This window comes from Homo sapiens, chromosome 6 (assembly GCF_000001405.40).
Source record: "Homo sapiens chromosome 6, GRCh38.p14 Primary Assembly".
In the NCBI taxonomy this organism is placed as follows: domain Eukaryota; kingdom Metazoa; phylum Chordata; class Mammalia; order Primates; family Hominidae; genus Homo; species Homo sapiens.
The window spans coordinates 166,921,559-166,939,696 of NC_000006.12; the positions used below are offsets into that span (position 1 = coordinate 166,921,559).

The window sequence follows — 18,138 nt, forward strand, 5'->3', positions numbered from 1 at the left end:
CAGTAGTGGACTTCCAGGAGGCTTAGCCTGAGAGTCACCCACTTCAAACCTCCCTTGTTGCTCAAAAAGGAAATGTGAAAGTTGTCAGAATCAAAATGGAGTAACTGGCATTAAACAAACCAACAAAAGGAACTTTCACAAAGCACCAGGGAAGGCCATAAAGAGTGGGTTCTCACGCCTCGATGCCTGATAACAAAAAGGACTACAAAAAACACAACCTTGCACAAAGGCCACCACCATGTTACAGGAAAACATACTTCTGCAAGGGCATTTGACCAGCCACTGCCCATCCCGCCCTGGACTGGCATCATCCTTGTTATTCATCTTTGCAGCCAAAGATAATTATCTTAAAACAGTGAAGTAATCCTCCTCTTGTATTTTCCCATTAAAAACCTTTGTCCTCCTTTACCCCCCTGAATACGCAGTTTACTATGGCACACATACTCCCATTGCGATGCCCTATGCCCAAATAAATATCATTTTCTTTTAGAGAGCCTGTTTGTCATTTAGGTGGACACACTGAAATTTTCAATGACTTGAGTCAATTAATTCTCTCTGTTTTTAAAGACAGCTTCCACTTTTTATTGATAACTATAGGATCCTAACTGCTAAGCATATATGTTGATCATGTTTACATGTTTATGTTGGGGACATTATTATAAATGTGAAAGAAGTATCTATAAATGTGATTATGGATTACTCACTGACACACTCAAAAAGCGCGGTGATCTGAGTTATAGTAAAGCCTGTTTCGTTGGTGTTTGCCTGATAATATCTTACACCTCATCTCTCATCATCAGCAAGTTGCATCCCACTGACCATCCCCCGGCTCCCCATCAAAAAAACCACTTGATTTCCAGGAATTGCCATAGGCTAGAGTCTCAGGTGTATAAAATTTCACTCATTGACTTAAGTGGAATGATTAACCTGGAGGAGACTCCAATCAACCTGAATAGAGTCCACTCAAATGTCTCTTCCCATGGCTGAGTCTATTCTGCTCTAAAACATTCAGAGAAAAACCAATCGGGTGACATTTCAGTTTTGATTAGTGAGGTACCAAGCCCCTGAATATTGGGAGCATCTTGGTGACTGGCTGAATCTTGTACATGACTTTTGATGTATGTTGTTATCTTTGGGCCACTGCTGACTATCTTTTCTCAATTCAGGTTAAATATTTTCAAAACACCTACTATGCTCAAGTAGCTGTGTTCAGTACTGGGGCAGCACGAGCAGCCCACATCTCAGGGTGCAGTCCAAGACATATGGTCATCAAGACAGAAGAGCAGATGGTGACAGGTACCAACCACCAAAGCTGTACACGCCAGGTTCAATGTCTTTGCTGGTAAAAATGGGCCACTGTCACTCTGCAGACTTTTCTCAGTGTTAAAAGCGGGTAGGAAAAGGTGATTGTGTAATTCTTGCTCCCTCAAATAAAGGGAATGTAAATGCATAAGAATGCACAGGTCTGAAATGTGAAAAGCACGTCAGCATAAAGTCCATACAGCATTTAATGGATCTTAACTTTATCCATCTCAAACTTTCTTTTGGAGATGGAGTCTCACTCTGTTGCCCAGGCTGGAGGGTGGAGCGCAGTGGCGCAATCTCCACTCACTGCAACCTCCAGCCTCCCAGAGGGCTGGGATTACAGGCGTGAGCCACCAGGCCCGGCCTTTTTTTTTTTTTTTTTTTTTGAGACAGAGTCTTACTCTGTTGCCCAAGCTTGAGTACAGTCTCGGCTCACTGCAGCCTCCACCTCCTGGGTTCAAGCCATCCTCTCACCTCAGCCTCCTGAGTAGCTGGGATTGCAGACACCCGCCACCACACCCAGCTAATGTATTTTTAGTAGAGATAGGGTTTCGTCCTGTTGGCCAGGGTGGTCTTGAACGCTTGACCTCAAGTGATCCGCCCACCTCGGCCTCCCAAGGTGCTAGGATTACAGGTATAAGCCACTGCGCCTGGCCCATCTCAAACTTTCTAATAACTATCATCTGAGCCTAAAATGCTAATTCTGTCTTTTTTGTCTAAAATAAATGGAAGGCCCATTACAGTCACTCAGAAAAAAAAAATAGAATTCTTATCAGAAAAAAAATGACATAAAACTGCATTTCTCATCATCTGTCAGAGATTTTGCTTCAGATAAGAAAACCCTCACTACTGCCCCTTCTATGGGAAACGTAGCTCATCCCATAAGCAATGCAATGGACTTCTTTTCTATAGACGCCCAAATACTGACTTCATATCTGTGATTGTATCCTGGTAATTTCATTTCAGGAGCTAGAGCTTGTGAGGAAAAGTAGTATTTTAACTTCTGAGTCTTTTCCAGCCTTCTGCAGTGATAGATCTAGCCAATATAGTTGAATTCTGAAAATATTTTACATTACAATTCTCAGCTGCCTTAGGACCTGCATTAAATTATTTTTATTCCTGATCCAAAGTTCGCAGAAACAAAAAGTGAAAACAGGCGATCTGCATGTTTCCTCATCTGGGCGTGGTGAGAAGCCAACAGCAGGCACCTTCCACTGGGACCAGTGCTGCATTCTCTTTTTTTCTTTTTTTGAAACGGAGTCTTGCTCTGTCATCCAGACTGGAGTGCAATGGTGTGATTTCGGCTCACTGCAACCTCTGCCTCCTGGCTTCAAGTGATTCATTCTCCTGCCTCAGCCTCCCGAGTAGCTGGGACTACAGGTGCCCGCCACCATGCCCGGCCAATTTTTGTATTTTTAGTAGAGATGGAGTTTCACCATACTGTCCAGGCTGGTCTCGAACTCCTGACCTTGGGATCCGCCTGCCTTGGCCTCCCAAAGTGCTGGTATTACAGGCATGAGCCACCACGCCCGGCCTCTCTTTTCTATTTTATTCATTTATTCACTCCATCACTAGAGAACACTGGCTTAGAGCTGATGTGCCTCAGACACAGGTGCACTCATGGAGCACAGAAGCGAGTTGGACAAAGTCCGGGCCTTTGTAGTGTGACGTGGCCATTAGGGCCCACAGATCCTTCCCTGCAGTTGCTGTCTCCCTTTCTTCAGGTTCCGAGGAAGCCTTCCCTGGCCGCCTTCATAACTCTGACCTCCTCCCTCCCTCCAACCTACCAGCATCAAATGCACCAGCTATGCTCCTCTTTTCCCTTGCCGTCTGTTGCCCTGCACTTTGGGAGGCTGAGGCAGGTGGATCACCCGAGGTCGGGAGTTTGAGACCAGCGTGACCAACATGGAGAAAACCCATCTCTACTAAAAATACAAAATTAGCCGGGCATGGTGGCATATGCCACCACTCTTGGAGTGGGCCCAAGAGGAAAAGATCCCTGCTTATGGCCATGTCCCAGTGCCTAGAAGAGAGGCGGCTCATAGGAAGGGTTGAAAAAAGTGTGGAATGAATCAATAAACAGCTCTTGATTTAGTGGCAGGAGAAGTACAGGCCTCACCTCCACCGCGCAGGCCTCATCTACGCCATCCAGCCCTCACCCACAGTGTCCAGACCTCACTTCTCCCACCCAGGCCTCTACCCAGTCATCTAGGCATTCTCCCTGCCGTCTAGCCCAAAACCGGAACAGCACAGCCCTCACCTCTGCTGCCCAGGCCTCATCTACGCCATCCAGCCCTCACTCCTGCCGCCCAGCCCTCACTCCTGCCGCCCAGCCCTCACCTCTGCTGTCCAGGCATCACCCTTGCTGTCCAGCCGACACCTACGATGCGCAGTCCATGTCTCCGCTGCCCAGGCCTCATCTATGCCACTTAGCCCTCACCCATGCCATCTAGCCCTCACTCAAGCCACCCAGCTCTCACTTCCTCCATCCAGGCATCATTCCTGCCACCCAGGCCTCATCTACACTGCCTAGCCCTCACCTCCCCTGTCCAGCCCGTCCTCACCTACACTGCACAGCCCTCACCTCTGCCACCCAGGCCTCATCTATACTGCCCAGCCCTCACCTCCCCTGTCCAGCCCTCACCTCCCCGGTCCAGCCCTTGCCTCCCCCGTCCAGCCCTCACCTCCATCATGCAGCCACTGTCTCTGCTGTCCAGTCCTCACCTATGCCACATTGTCCGCATCTACACTGTACGGCCCTCCCCTGTGCCATCCAGCTGGCATCTTCTATGTAACACAACAAGAGCTGGAAGAGAAGAGGCCCTGGTCCCTGGGCGTGGAGGCGCAGAGCCACCCAGGACTGCAAAAGAACTCTTAACGGCCAACCATGGAACTGGGTGTTGATATCCCATGGAACTTGCTAAACTAGGTGAGCAGAAGAGCACTCCAGGCCACCCAAACTGCGCGGAGAATCCAGGCACAAGGAAGTGCTAAGCAGAGCCCTCATGGGCTGTGGGGAGTGGGTGGAGGCACTGCCAACAGGGCAGGAGGGATTGAGGGAATGTCCCTGAGCCGCCATACTGGGGAGGTGTGATCTGGGAGCAGAGAGCCATGGTTGGTTACGGAGAGTGGCACAAACACGGTGCCAGCGTCCAGCACTGACAGTCAGGTGGCGTGGCAGTCAATGCATGGCCCAGATGGGAGACTGAGGCTTGAACTAAGTCAGTAATGAGAAGGATAAGCTGAATATAATTCAGAATACTTTCACAATTTAGGCAAAATTTTTTTAAAAAGTTTCCAGTTCACTTTGAGGTTTCTACCTGGAATAAGCGGATGGTGATGTCATTCACCGAGATGGAGGCAAAAGTTTCGGTGGAAAGATAAGATACCTGGGCCAGGCGCGGTGGCTCACACCTATAATCCTAGCACTCTGGGAGGCTGAGGCAGGCAGATCACCTGAGGTCAGGAGTTCCAGACCAGCCTGGCCAACACAGTGAAACCCCAACTCTACTAAAAATACAAAAAATAGCCGGGCATGGTGGCGTGCCTAGTCCCAGCTACTCGGGAGGCTGAGGCAGAAGAATTGCTTGAACCCAGGAGACAGAGGTTGCAGTGAGCCGAGATCGCACCACTGCACTCCAGCCTGGGCGACAGAGTGAGACTCAGTCTCAAAAAAAAAAAAAAAGAAAAGAAAAGAAAAGATATCTAGTTCTGAATATGATACAATTGCTACTGTTAGTTATTCAAGCGCATAATGATCTCCCACTACTAGCTTGGAGAGAGGGATTGCTTTCCAGGTGACAAAGCATTGTCCCCTCCCAGGCCAAGAGAAATGCTCTTGGGTACAGCAATAGCCCTGCTGAGAAGGGGCTGGTCTGAAGGAGTTTCATGGGAACCTGGTTTTCTTGTCTCGCTTTTACCTATGGTGTCTTTTTCCACCATAAGTTCCACTCATCCCTGTGGCCTAGTCCACGGGTCCTCTTTTCCATGGTGCCGCAGAGATGCTCCAGGCAGACGCCTGCTCTGGCTGAGACCCGGGCCAGCTGCCCCTCCTGGCTGCTCTCCATCCTGAGATGCGCCTGCTCCTTTGTCCCCCTGGGAGACACTTGTACCCCCAGCTCTGATCCCAGAGCCTGGCCTGCTCCTCCTTCCACACATACGAGCCTGAGACCCCGCTCACATGGGAGGCATTTCTCAGTCACCTCCGCCCAGTTACAGCGAGAACCGTGTGGTCAGAGTTGCATCTTCCTGAGTTGAATCTGGAAAATGCACGACCTACTTGTTTAATGATGTAAAAACATGTGCTTGGATCTGATCTCCATCACTGAACCTTAAACGCAGAGTCTTCCCCTTCTGTCTCCTGCGGCTCATAAGTGCCTTATACTTACATGATCTGAGGCAGGTTATCAAACGCTCATGTTCTACCTGCTCCTGAGCTCTAGGCCAAAATAGGAATATTAAGAGAGCCAAGCATTTGCTTGTGCTCATGTTTTGAACCATCCAGCCCCTCACCAGTGCCTTCTTCCATTTAGCTGACGTGACAATGGCAGGAAACCAGCACTCCGCAGCCCATGCCTCCCACCAGGATGCTACCTTGTTGGCGTCCCCATCCGCTCTCAAATGCTCACACTCATATAATAAATACACGCTACTTAAAAAAAAGAATGGCTTCTTTAAAAACCGCAAAGGCCAGCCGACTGCAGACAGCCTCTGAAGAGCTGCTTTCCTTGACCCCCCAAGGCTATAAAATAAATGCAATTTGAATAGGAAGTCTGTTCAAATTCACCAGCTCCTCTGGGAATAATGAAGATAAAACCCAAGCCTTGATCCCTGTGTTCGCAAAATGACTCAAAAAAAAAAAAAAAAAAAAAAAGAATTGACATCATTTAAAGGACTCTGAGGCTTAAGAGTCCAACTCTAAAGTACACCCACTCCCTGAGGACGCAGAGCAAATGCAGGAAATCACGCCCTTCCAGGTGCAAAACAAATCAGATCTTGTCCCTCTCACAGGCATCAAAACACAAATCATCAGTTCCCGACAGAAACAAATCCTGCCCTGCCAAGCCAACAGAAAAACACTGGAGACAGAAATGAGCTCAGAGAAGGGCCGAGGGACAATGACAAGGTGGGGACCCTGGACCCTTGGGCTCCGCTAGCCTTCCCCACAGCTTGCAGAAGAGGGCTCAGCTCCTCCATTACAGAAGAGACAAAATACAGGGACTGCTTCCATCAAATCCCCCATCATCTCACTCTGTCTGTCTGCAGAAGCTGTCAGGCCTGGCTGGGTGCTGCCTGTCTCAGGCTCTTACTGCAGAGCTTGTTTCCAGAGGGCCAGAGGCCGTCCTGTGTCTCCTTTAATGCCTGCGGGGGACGCAGAGGCCACTGAGTCTAGGATCAGGACTGCGACACCTACTTTCTCACCGTCCCATCTGCCTGGTAAACCTTTGTCTCTCTCTGAACATTCTGCATTTCAGACTGTCTTGTAGACACCATGAAGTGAGGTTTTGGTTTGAGCCAATTTGAAAATCTCTTCTTTAAATGGGCGAGTAAAGCCGAATATTCACAGGCATTGATACAGCTGTTTTTTTTTTTTTTGTAAATTATGCTGACAATATGGTTATTCTAAGGATTAAATATTTCACGTGTTGAACACAATGCCTGGCACATAGTAAGTTCTATTTTAAATGTATATTGAATAAAACATAAATAGGACGTTAATGTGATTAAGACAAACAGAGAAAAGGATTTAAAGAGAGAAGAGGCCAGGAGACGCGGGAGAAGACAATGCTAACAGGTTGTCTTAACAACACATGGAAAGCTCCTCACTGCACAGCCCCCAGATGCCTCACTCCACGAGTGAAATCCCTGCACGGCAGGCCGAGAGCGTGGGTGCAGCAGTCTGCCTGACGTGAGAGCCATGTCATCACATATCTAGAAGGTAAGGGTACCTCCGGTTCTGGAACACACAATGTAGGCACATTTCGCTGGGGGCTCCATGTACATTTCTAAATAGATACCAGTGCAGGGACCTGGCTACCCTCTGATAAGAAGGAAGTGAGGCCTGACAGAAACTGACCTTCCAGTAACCTGGAAGAGACTGCTCTGACGGAGACAGGAGATGGCTGCTCTGTGAATACACCCAAATCTCCTAGGGCAGGAGGGGCAAAGTCACCGTTCTAGGACACACCTGTGACCACACCAGGCCTCCAACAACGGAGCAGCTGGCTAAGGAACGATGTCCTGGGGCTCTGGTCACATGGAACAGACCCAGTCTGAGCTAGAGACACCCCCCAGGCCCACCAGGCATCAGCGTGGGCTCCTGCCATGCGTGGAGCTCTTCGTCTTGACAGGGTCCCTGCGCCAAGAAGGCAACAGGCTCCGAGGGGAAAACTCGAGCAAGAGAGTCCCCTGAATCGGTGCCATCTGTCTAAATTCCAAGTATGCCTGCCTGATCTACCAGGGCACTGAAGAGTTTAATAGAGAAAAAAAAAAACAATCTGTGAGCTTTATCCCAAGCACAAAACAGCCACTCAGGCGTGGGAGAGCTCCTTTCTCCCCGTGTACGCCACATGCACTCACTCTACAGGGACCACAACATCCAATTCACAGGCATGGAGGGGAAACAGCAAAATAAACAGACTTCACTTTGGAGTTGTTTTTTAGAAAGCTGCAGTTTGTGAATTTCTCTTGCTTTTTAAAACAGAATATTTCCAAAACTTGGGCATCAATGCTTGGTCTTTTTAGGTGGGGGATAGAAGACTGGGCCATCTTCACAGACTCTCAGACCCCGGCTCTCGGCGGCCCCATTTGCCAGCCAGACTTCCTGCTTGGGGGACGGCTGCTCCCCCGGCTCGGTGCAGTTTTGCAGCTGCTGGTCTTGCTTAGTGAGGCACAGTTCTATCTGACCAATTGTCTGTACTTCCTCATCCTAAAAGTAAACAATGAAAGACGCTTTAGAATTCAGATCTTGGATTATCATCAAGGTCTTAAGATCATGAACTTTTAGAACTTTTAGAAGATAACAAAAGCAGAGGCTCCACACCACAGGTTCTAGGTTCCAAGAACGGACCCCTTCATTGAGCAGAAGGCTGCTGTGCACTAAATTGGAAGGAGTGGCCCCAGGTGACTCGCCTGTGGGCAGTGGAGCTGGGCTTGGGGGTTGGATCCCCTGGTCACCACCAGAGGCCAGCCTGGTGCCCTGGTGAAAAGCCTCTGCTTTTATGTTAGAGAAAATTAACAAAGTTACACACAGATACAACAGCACTCAACATATCTATCAAGATATTAGGAGAAGAAATGGCTTTTGTAGGCCAAAAGGGCAACAGTACCCTATTGCTAAAAGAACAGGTATATTCTTGTTAAAGATAAGCAAGAAGACAAACCCTGTCCTAGCATGCTGTCAAGAAACCATGCTTGCTCACACACAGCACATGCTCACACAGACACACATGCATGCTCACATACACAGATGTGCAGGCCTGTGCACACATGCAGAACATGCCCATATGTGCACACATACACACAGTACATGAACATGTTCATATGCACATTCACACAGAGGCACAGGCCCATGCACACACACAGCACATACCCACATGCATGTACACACACACACACACGCACATGCCCACACAGCACGTTCACATGCATGCACACATTCACACATGCACACACATGCCCACATGCATGTTCACACAGAGAACATGCACACACATGCACACACACAGCACATGCACACATGCATGTACATGCACACACAGCACATGCCCACATAATGTACACACTTGCACACACAGCACATGCGCACATGTATACTCATGCGCATACAGCACATGCACACATGCATGTACATGCACACACAGCACATGCCCACATAATGTACACACATGCACACACAGGACATGCACACACATGCACACATAGCACATGCCCACATGCATGTACACACACATGCACACATAGCACATGCCCACATGCATGTACACACACATGCACACACAGCACATGCACACATGCATGTACACACACACATGCACACACACACCACATGCCCACATATACAGACACAAATGCACAAATACAAGTCTGCCCCAGGGAACTGCATGGTGAAGACAAGGCCATCAGAAAAGTAGAACCTGTCTTCTTGAGAAAAAAAGGAAGACAAAACATAACTGTCTAACCTGGCTTGGTGGAAGGCACTGGATTTTGGGTATCACTCCATATACTCTGGCAAGGGCATCTTTAAAATCTGCAACCTGATTTTAAATACAAGTGTATTAGAAATTAAACTTCAACAGAAAAGATCTGACAGTTCTGGACTATCCTGAGCGCAACAGTGGCAGGGTCCTGGTCTCCCTTGGCTGGCAGGGACAGGACCCAGCACAGGTGTGAGAATGATGCCCCCACCTCCACCAGCGAAGCAGAGGATGCTGTCAACCTGGGCTTCATCCCCAGACCACAAGCCGCTCGCTGCGGCTCTGTTTTCCTCTCTGCTCCTGTTTCTCTGGAGAGCAGAGCTCTCCTCCTCCCAGTGTCTTTCTGGGCCCCGAGCTGTCTCACCTGAAACGCCACCTGCCACAGCCACCCTCATCCACCAACAACTACTCTGCCTTTCGCGGCCCATAAAGCTTTCTCAGCCCTGTCCACTCTGAAGTATCTCTCTCTCCCGACCCCCTCCCCACGGTGGACACATTCTCCTTCACAGAAGAAAGGCCCTGGGACCCCTCAGCTACCGGTCCCGAAACTGCAAACCTAGACCCCCCTGTGCTCCAACCTCCTCTTGGATGAGGGGCCTCCTCCTCGCTCTACTGAGGGAGTCCTCCCCCACTGCTTCTGCCTCGTGCCTTCTGACTCAAACCTCCTAGGAGGACACCTGCATCCTCTCAGCCTCGTACTCTGGCTTTGGGGGGCACCAAGCTGGGGTCACCAGCTCCAGCAGATGCCTTTTGCCCCTTGCCTCAGACACTGTCCACTCCTTCCACGAAGCTCTCCTGTGGGCCTCCTGAGCACCTGCTCCACTGACCGCCTGGCTGCCGGCTGCCATTCCTGCCCCATCTCCTTGGCCTCCTTCTTCTCCTTCACTTATGGCGAGTTTTCACTGCCTTCCATTGGAAGCTATCTTTTCCACCCCATGGCTTCCCTCCCATCCAGACCTCTCTTCCTGGACTCTGCAGAGAGCTCCAATTCGAACTGTCCATGCAGGGTCTGATCATCCTCCCCTCTTGCCAAGCTTCTGACACCAGCAAATGTCACTCCTATGGAGGCCTGAGGCAGGACCTCTGCCTCTCCCATCCCCCTGTCCCAAACGGCCAAGTCCAAGCTCCCCACACTATCCCTTCCTCTCCAGCTGCATAGCCATAGGCCCAGATTCCCCCAGCATGTGACCTACTCGGAGGGTCTCTGTGCCTAGCCTCTCCCCAGTACCACGGGGACAGCAACAAGCAAACACCCCGGCCTACTCAGAGCTCAGCGCTGCTGGAGGATGAGGTCCTCATGTCTATGGCTCCCACCCGGCCCCTTCCCAACCCTCCTGCTCTGCCCCTGAGCCCCCTCAAGAAGCAACTGGTCCCATATCTCCCAGCCCCCAGCCCCCAGCTCTGCTCCACTGAACCACTCCCCTCAGGGCCTGGGCAGGCTGCAGGCCTCCATCTCAGCAACGCATTTCCCAGGAAATGTCTGGGTCGGCAGCTCTCCTGGGTGCTCCCGCAGCCCTGATTTCCCCATAAAACAGATGAGTGGATACGTGGCTGGATGCTGGATGCAAAAGCAACAAATTTCTCCTGATGATAAATCAAACTCCTTTCAAAGGACAGGACTCCGAGTATCCACCGTGCTGTTTCTGATGCCCAAACAAGCGCCGTTCGCACCTGGAAGCAGCTCAGCAAATGTGTGGCCCCTGTGGCTTTTGCCACCCCTGTAATCAGTTCCCTGAACACCGAGCTCTGGGCAAACATGGCAGGCACATGTCCCTCATCTATTCGCACATGAGTCCAGGTGAGGACGGTGAGGGCCCTGCAAGCGATCATCTTACGGCTTCCTGGGGTTGGGGTTGAGGGGGAGTCTGGAAAGGGCTGGTAGACTCCTTCCTCAAGTCCACTGCTCCCCACACTCTGGAAAAATGGCTGCACAGGTAAGCAGACACCATGAGAGCAAAGACACTGTTGCCAATTTATTTCACAAACAGTCAAGATACCAAAATAATTGTTCAACATCCAGCCATCGCCCCAGAACTACTAAGATCAGTGACTTTCAACCTTTTTCTAAATCCACAACCTGTGATAAATACGAAAACTATCTCAAAGAATCTGATACCTTTCTCTAAGGCAAGAGTCTGCAAACATTTTCCGTAAAGGTCCACGTCGTAAATATCCCGGGATTTGTGGATGACACATCGGTCCCTACTGCAGCTACACCATGGGAGCACAAGCATCCCCAGGTAACAAAGGAGTACAATTTTGTTTACAAAAACAGGCAACCAAGAGTTGAAAACAACTACTTTTTCTTTTTTTTTTAAAGAGACGTGATCTGGCTGTCGCCCAGACTGGAGTGCAGTGGGGCGACCATGGCTCACTGCAGCCTCAAATTCCTGGGCGCAGGCAATCCTCTGACCTTAGCTTCCTGAATAGCTGAGACCACAGACACATACTATCATGCTCAGCTACTTTTACTTCTTTCTAGAGGTCTCACTCTGCTGCCCAGGCTGGTCTCGAAATTCTAGCCACAAGCAATCCTCCAGCCTGAGCCTCCCAAGGTCCTGGGATTTATAGGCGTGAGTCACCACACCTGGCAAAAAGCAACTTTTTGTATATGCTTACCAGCTAATAACATCTTGTCATGCTTAAATATCTATAGTTTCTTTTATCATAAAACAAATCACAATTTTATCATGAAAACAAACCACAAACAAATATAAGACTACGTTATAAAAGTGAATGTGACTCTTGAAACTGCAGATTCCACCTGCTCTGCCGGACCCTGGAGCACACACTTCTCACAAAGGGAGCCATGAAATCTGTGCTTCCAAATCACTGGTCTAAGCAGCCTTCAGCTCCTACTCAACATGCGCAGGAAAATAAAATGCAAATAAAATCTGTTCACATGATAACATTTAAGTAGGAAGGGGGTTTGCACTGGGGCAATTTACAGCCCATTGACTCAGAGGCTGAAACGGCCCTACTGGAGGTCCCCGGGAGAGACACACGAGAAAAGAAGCAAAAGCAAGACTTACTTGGTAGTAATTGATGGATGGTTTTATCCCCAATTTTAGAAGCACACTAAAATTTAAATTTAAAAAAGTTAGCTGTATAATGAAGGTCCACTTTGCTTTCTTGTTCTTTTCAGGTATCATATTTCATGGTAAAAATTAAGACACTCTTAAAGGAAAGTGTTTTCTATGACTTTATGCAACAAATGTGTCAACATGGACTGCAAATACATGGTTCCCAGTCCCCGCCTTCCCCACCCCTTAGCACACACACAAACTGCTCCAGGCAGGTACCCTTTCCAGTTCCTGACTCCTTCGGAGCATGGGAGCGCTGGGGCCACCACCGAGTGGAGCTGGCACACACATCACCACCCGTTTGCCACACCTGCTTTAAAAGACAGCAATTGAAATCGGATTCCAGGCTTATCCTGGTAAACTGCATTTGGACAAATCTTTAAACACAGTCATGCGCCACATTACGACATTCAGTCAGTGAAGGCCTGCATGTACGAGGGCGGTCCCATATGACCACATTTCTACTGTGCCTTTTCTATGTTGAGATATGTTTAGATACACAAATCCTTACCATTGTGTTACATACAGGTGCCTACAGTACTCAGTAGAGTCACACACTGTACAGGTTTGTAGCCTCGAAGCAACAGGCTATACCACAAAGCATATGTGTGTCGTGGGCTGTATCAGCTAAGTAAGTGCACTCCAAGATGTTCACATGACAATTTTATACCCCATCACCAAGCAATACATAACCGTATGGTAAGTCCCTACAGCTTTCAATCACCTCCTAAAGCACTTCTACACAGAATCCTACCAAACTACCATATATAGAATTCACTTATTAAAGTATAAAGGTACACTGTAAAATTCTGAATCATTGCAGAAGAATATCCTAGTTCCCCATCAAGCCTTGGTAGAAAATTCTAGATCACGATCACAGAGTGGACACAAAGACTTAGACATCCTCTGTGGGCAATAACTTATTGTCAGACTGTCTTGGCCACAGAGTTCCTGGAACAAGGACCGAGATGCCGGACCAGGGTCCTTTCAGCCCCATCATGGCCCGAACCCACAGGACCTCGCCTACCCTAGCTGTTGGTGTTGTATGAATAACAGGTTTCAGACTTTGCAGTTAAAAAAAAAAAATGTAAACTAGCTTATTAATTTTTTAATATTTATCCTAAGTTTCGATGATCCTATTTTTGATATATTGAGTTTAATAAAATATTTTTGAAATTAATTTAACCTGTTTCTTTTTGCTCCTTTTAATGATGCTACTAGAAAATTTAAAATGACATCTGTGGCTCGTGTTACACGTCTATTGGGTAGCATGCTCCTGACTTGGGTGATCAAGGGAATACGGCAAAGAGAGAAAGATGTGGGGAAATGCAGCACCTAACCCAGCATCATGCTTTCTGCTGAGTTGAGATGAGCTTGGCACGCATCCCAGGTCTTTATCTGTGGGTACTCTAGCACGTGCCATCAGCTCATCTGTGTCTATGGGAACCCTGACAACTTTGCTTCAAGATGATTTGTGGTTTTTCAGGTTTGCTGCCTTCATATTATGAAGTGAAGAAAAACAAGCTACAATTTTTTATTCTATTTTATTTTTTTGACACAGAGTCTTGCTCTGTGGCCCAGGCTGGACTGCAGTGGTGCGATCTCGACTCACTGCAACCTCCGCCTCCTGGTTTCAAGAGATTCTCCTGCCTCAGCCTCCTGAGTAGCTAGGATTACGTGCACCACCATGCCCAGCTAATTTTTGTATTTTTAGTAGAGACGGGGGTTTCACCATGTTGGCCAGGCTGTTCATGAACTCCTGACCTCATGATCCACCCGCCTTGGCCTCCCAAAGTGTTGGGATTACAGGCGTGAACCACTGTGCCCAGCCTGTTCCAGTTTATGATAATTTGAAAAGCCAACCTATGAGAAAAAGATAATTTGTGATACCAGTTTACAAGGAAAAATGAGGGGTCTTAAATTTTGACTTCTTAATTTAATTTTTAGATTAAAATGAAGGCACTAAGAATTATAGATTTCCCTTGGAGAAACTAAGAATATAATTTTCCTATAATTGTTCTTTATAGGTTTTAGCAAACATACTCTCAGTAGTGCTTTGCCCTGGCAGGCCCTCAGTGAACATTTACTGAATGAATGAATGAATGAATGAATGGAGGACGCACCATTCCCATCTACAGCAATGGCAGGGCAGCACTGGGCTCTGCTGAATCCCCACAGGAACTCCAGGACTTAGAGTTTTGCATGTGTCGTGTGTGTGTGTGTGTGTGTGTGTCTCAGTCTGTCTAGTGTCGCTATACAGGAATACCTGAGGCTGGGTAATTTATTTAAAAAAAGAGGTTTTTTTGGCTCAGGGGTCTGCAGGCTGTCCGAGAAGCATGGAACCAGATTCTGCTTCTGGCAAGGGCCTCAGGAAACTTCCGCTCATGGCAGAAGGCAAAGGGGAGCTGGTGTGTACAGAGATCACATGGCCAGAGAGGAAGCCAGGGGTTGGGGGCGGTGCCAGGCTCCTGTTAACAACCAGCTCTCTGGGGAACTGAGTGGGAACTCGCTCACCCCTGCAAGGGGGCATTAACCTACTCATGAGGGATCCTTCCCCGCAGCTCAAACACCTCCCACCTCCACACTGGTGATCAAATTTCAACATGAGATTTGGTGGGGATAAACCAACCACATCCAAACCATAGCAGGAAAGCTACTGAGTTTCAACGAGTGTAAGTAGGAGCCACTTAATAAACTATTTGTTGGATACAGAGATGAATTATTTAGATGATTGATTTTAAAATTTTCAGTAGTATCCATTTATCCTTTCTCTGTTTGATTAAATGAACTGGTTTATGGAGTCAGCCTGGAAAACACCAGCACTCTGCAGCAGGGTCAGGACTGTGAGACCCCTGTTTTGAAACAGAGGGCATCTTTCTTGTCATCTCCAAAGTGGGTCCTACCCTGCCAGTCTTTCAGCAATGTCAGACTTTCTTTTTAACTGCAAGTCTCCTGTGCTCCAGGAGCTACCTAAGACACTCTCTTGGTTAATCCTCATAATGACTTTTTTTTTTGAGACAGTTTTGCTCTTTTCGCACAGGCTGGAGTGCAATGGCACGATCTCAGCTCACTGCAACCTCCACCTCCTGGGTTCAAGCCATTCTCCTGCTTCAGCCTCCCGAGTAGCTGGAATTACAGGCATGCACCACCACACCTGGCTAATTTTTGTATTTTTAGTAGAGATGGGATTTCACCATGTTGGCCAAGCTGGTCTTGAACTCCTGACCTCTGGTGATGCACCCACCTCAGCCTCCCAAAGTGCTGGGATTACATGCATGAGCCACCACACATGGCCCATAATGATTTCTGAACAGCTAATTAGCTACATTTGTTAGGTGAGAAAATGTTTCCTAAAATATTGCTCTTACTGCAAGAAAGCAATGCTTCCTTTATTAAAAACCTAAGATTAAATTACATAGATCAAATTATATACACAAACTATATACAAATCAAAGTGTATAGGTCTGTGTACGTTTCTTAGTGTATATACCTGGTAGTGCAGATTTTAAGAGCTGGAAGAGACTTCAGGGTTGAGGGCAACCTATCCATTTATTTCACAGCATGGAAAAAAGAGCTAGAGGTTAGATACACAAATTGTACAACTAGTTAGTGTCAGAACCAGGATGAAAAGGCACACCTAATGCCACGCGCTCTGGGAGGTGATTTTTAAAGAAGTTTATTCACAGGGCATTCTTTGATGTAATCTTGATCCCCGCTAACCGTGCCAAGCCCCTCTTCTATCAGTGCCTGAGCTCTATCCCACCCAAGTTGCAGCTGTTAGACTGCGTTTCATCAGATGACACAGGAGACCATCTGTGTGAGACGATTTTGTACGTTGAGGAGGCAAAGCACATGTCTAGATAAGCAATGGAGGTTTATTCATCTTTTAAGCAGTTTTGATTCAGAAACCTTAAATACAGCTGATTAGCTAAGGCTCCTGGTATTATTCTGATTTGAAGGAGAATTGCTCTAAAACAAGCTGCGTGAATTCCAAAAGCAGCAACACAGAGGCTGTGCAATTGCCTGTCATGTTTTTCACGACTTCACTGGTTTATTATGACCTCTTATGATGAAGGTCAGTGAGAGCAGCTAAGACGCTGACACCCTGAAACGTCCCGACGGAGAGGTAAGGGCACACCCTGGCTCTCTAGCAACCAGATTCGGACAGTGAGTGGGCTCGGTGTGGCGCTCAGAAGGCACTTTGCTTTACAAGTCAACTGGCTCAAGTGGGACAACGTATTCCACTTCTCAAGAATAGAGGTGAGGGCAGGCAGGGACGATTTAGGCAGGTTGGGGTCATTTCTGGGGCTTAAAGAACCCTGGCCCACATCTCTTTCCTGCCTGCTTGTTCCAGGAGTTCTGCGGCAAAGACCTACAGACTTCCAGAGTTTCCGTCTTTCTAAGGAAACGACTTATTAATGCACTATCCTTTATCAGGAATCATGGCTGAGAACGGCACATGCTGGTTGGAGTCCTCGTTTTCCCTATGGCCGACTCTGATGATGAGATGGTGCCCAGATGGGCATCCCAATACTCTGCACCCACTCTGTGTGATCGTGATGTAGAATGATCTGGAAAGGCTTGGTAGGCTCAGAACATTCCTCAGGAATGATCCCAGTAGCCGAATAGTGCACATGCAGAAGCTGCTGGAGGGCAGTGAGGTCTACACCCACTCCCCTGGATCCAGCTGTCAGGCTTGGGCGACAGCAGAGATCCCCACTGGGAAGTGCAGCCGGGGGAAGGGCGCACCCACCTGTTGAGGTCCAGCTCCCTGTAGAGTTCCAGGCTTCTGCCAAAGTACTTCTTCTGGGAGTTGAGCGCATCCACCTGGGCGGCGCAGGTCCCATGCTTTTCCCACTCATGCTTCCTGTGAGGATTAGGAAAAATCTCCACTTAAAAGTAGTGAAACAGGCTGCGTGCAGTGGCTCATGCCTGTAATCCCAACACTTTGGGAGGCTGAAGGGGGTGGATCACCTGAGATCAGGAGTTTGAGACCAGCCTGACCAACATGGTGAAACTGTCTCTACTAAAAATACAAAAAAATTAGCCGAGTGTGGTGGCAGGTGCCTGAGATCCCAGCTACTCAGGAGGCTGAGGAGGAGAATCGCTTGAACCCGGGAGGCAGAGGTTGCAGTGAGCCAAGATCATGCCATTGCACTATAGCCTGGGCAAGAGACAAACTCCATCTCAAAAAAAAAGTAATGAAACTGATTCCCAATTAAAATGCTCAAGCATGTTTTCTCTCAGCACAGACTATTCCCATGTGGTAGGCATGTCATTTCTTTTACAAAGTAGGAAGGATAAAATTCCTTATTTGCAACATAGGCAATTATTTCAATCCCCCACGATTAAATAATCAGTTTCAGTTCACGTCTACAATTACAGCTTGCTCAATTAACAACAAATCAAAGCTGAGAAAAAAGAACATGCTGCTGCCCCAACCCCCACTGATTCACAAAGCAACGTGTGGTCTCCTGCAGTGAGTGGGTGCTTTGCAGTCAGGGAATTTCGCAGAGTGGCACAAACTGTCATTTCTAAGCAACCAGCCATGGAAA

General features: G+C 48.1%; 1 protein-coding gene across 1 annotated transcript in view; it reads right to left on the reverse strand.

Moving 5' to 3' along the window:
* Window positions 555-18,138, reverse strand: part of RNASET2 (ribonuclease T2) — a 34,438-nt gene continuing 16,854 nt past the window's right edge. The window contains exons 6-9 of the mRNA NM_003730.6: window positions 17,337-17,450; window positions 12,533-12,578; window positions 9,486-9,560; window positions 555-8,233 (exon numbers count right to left, since the gene is read on the reverse strand). Coding sequence (NP_003721.2) covers window positions 8,030-8,233; window positions 9,486-9,560; window positions 12,533-12,578; window positions 17,337-17,450 — 439 coding nt within the window. The 3' untranslated portion in view covers window positions 555-8,029. The remainder of the gene's footprint in view (window positions 8,234-9,485; window positions 9,561-12,532; window positions 12,579-17,336; window positions 17,451-18,138) is intronic.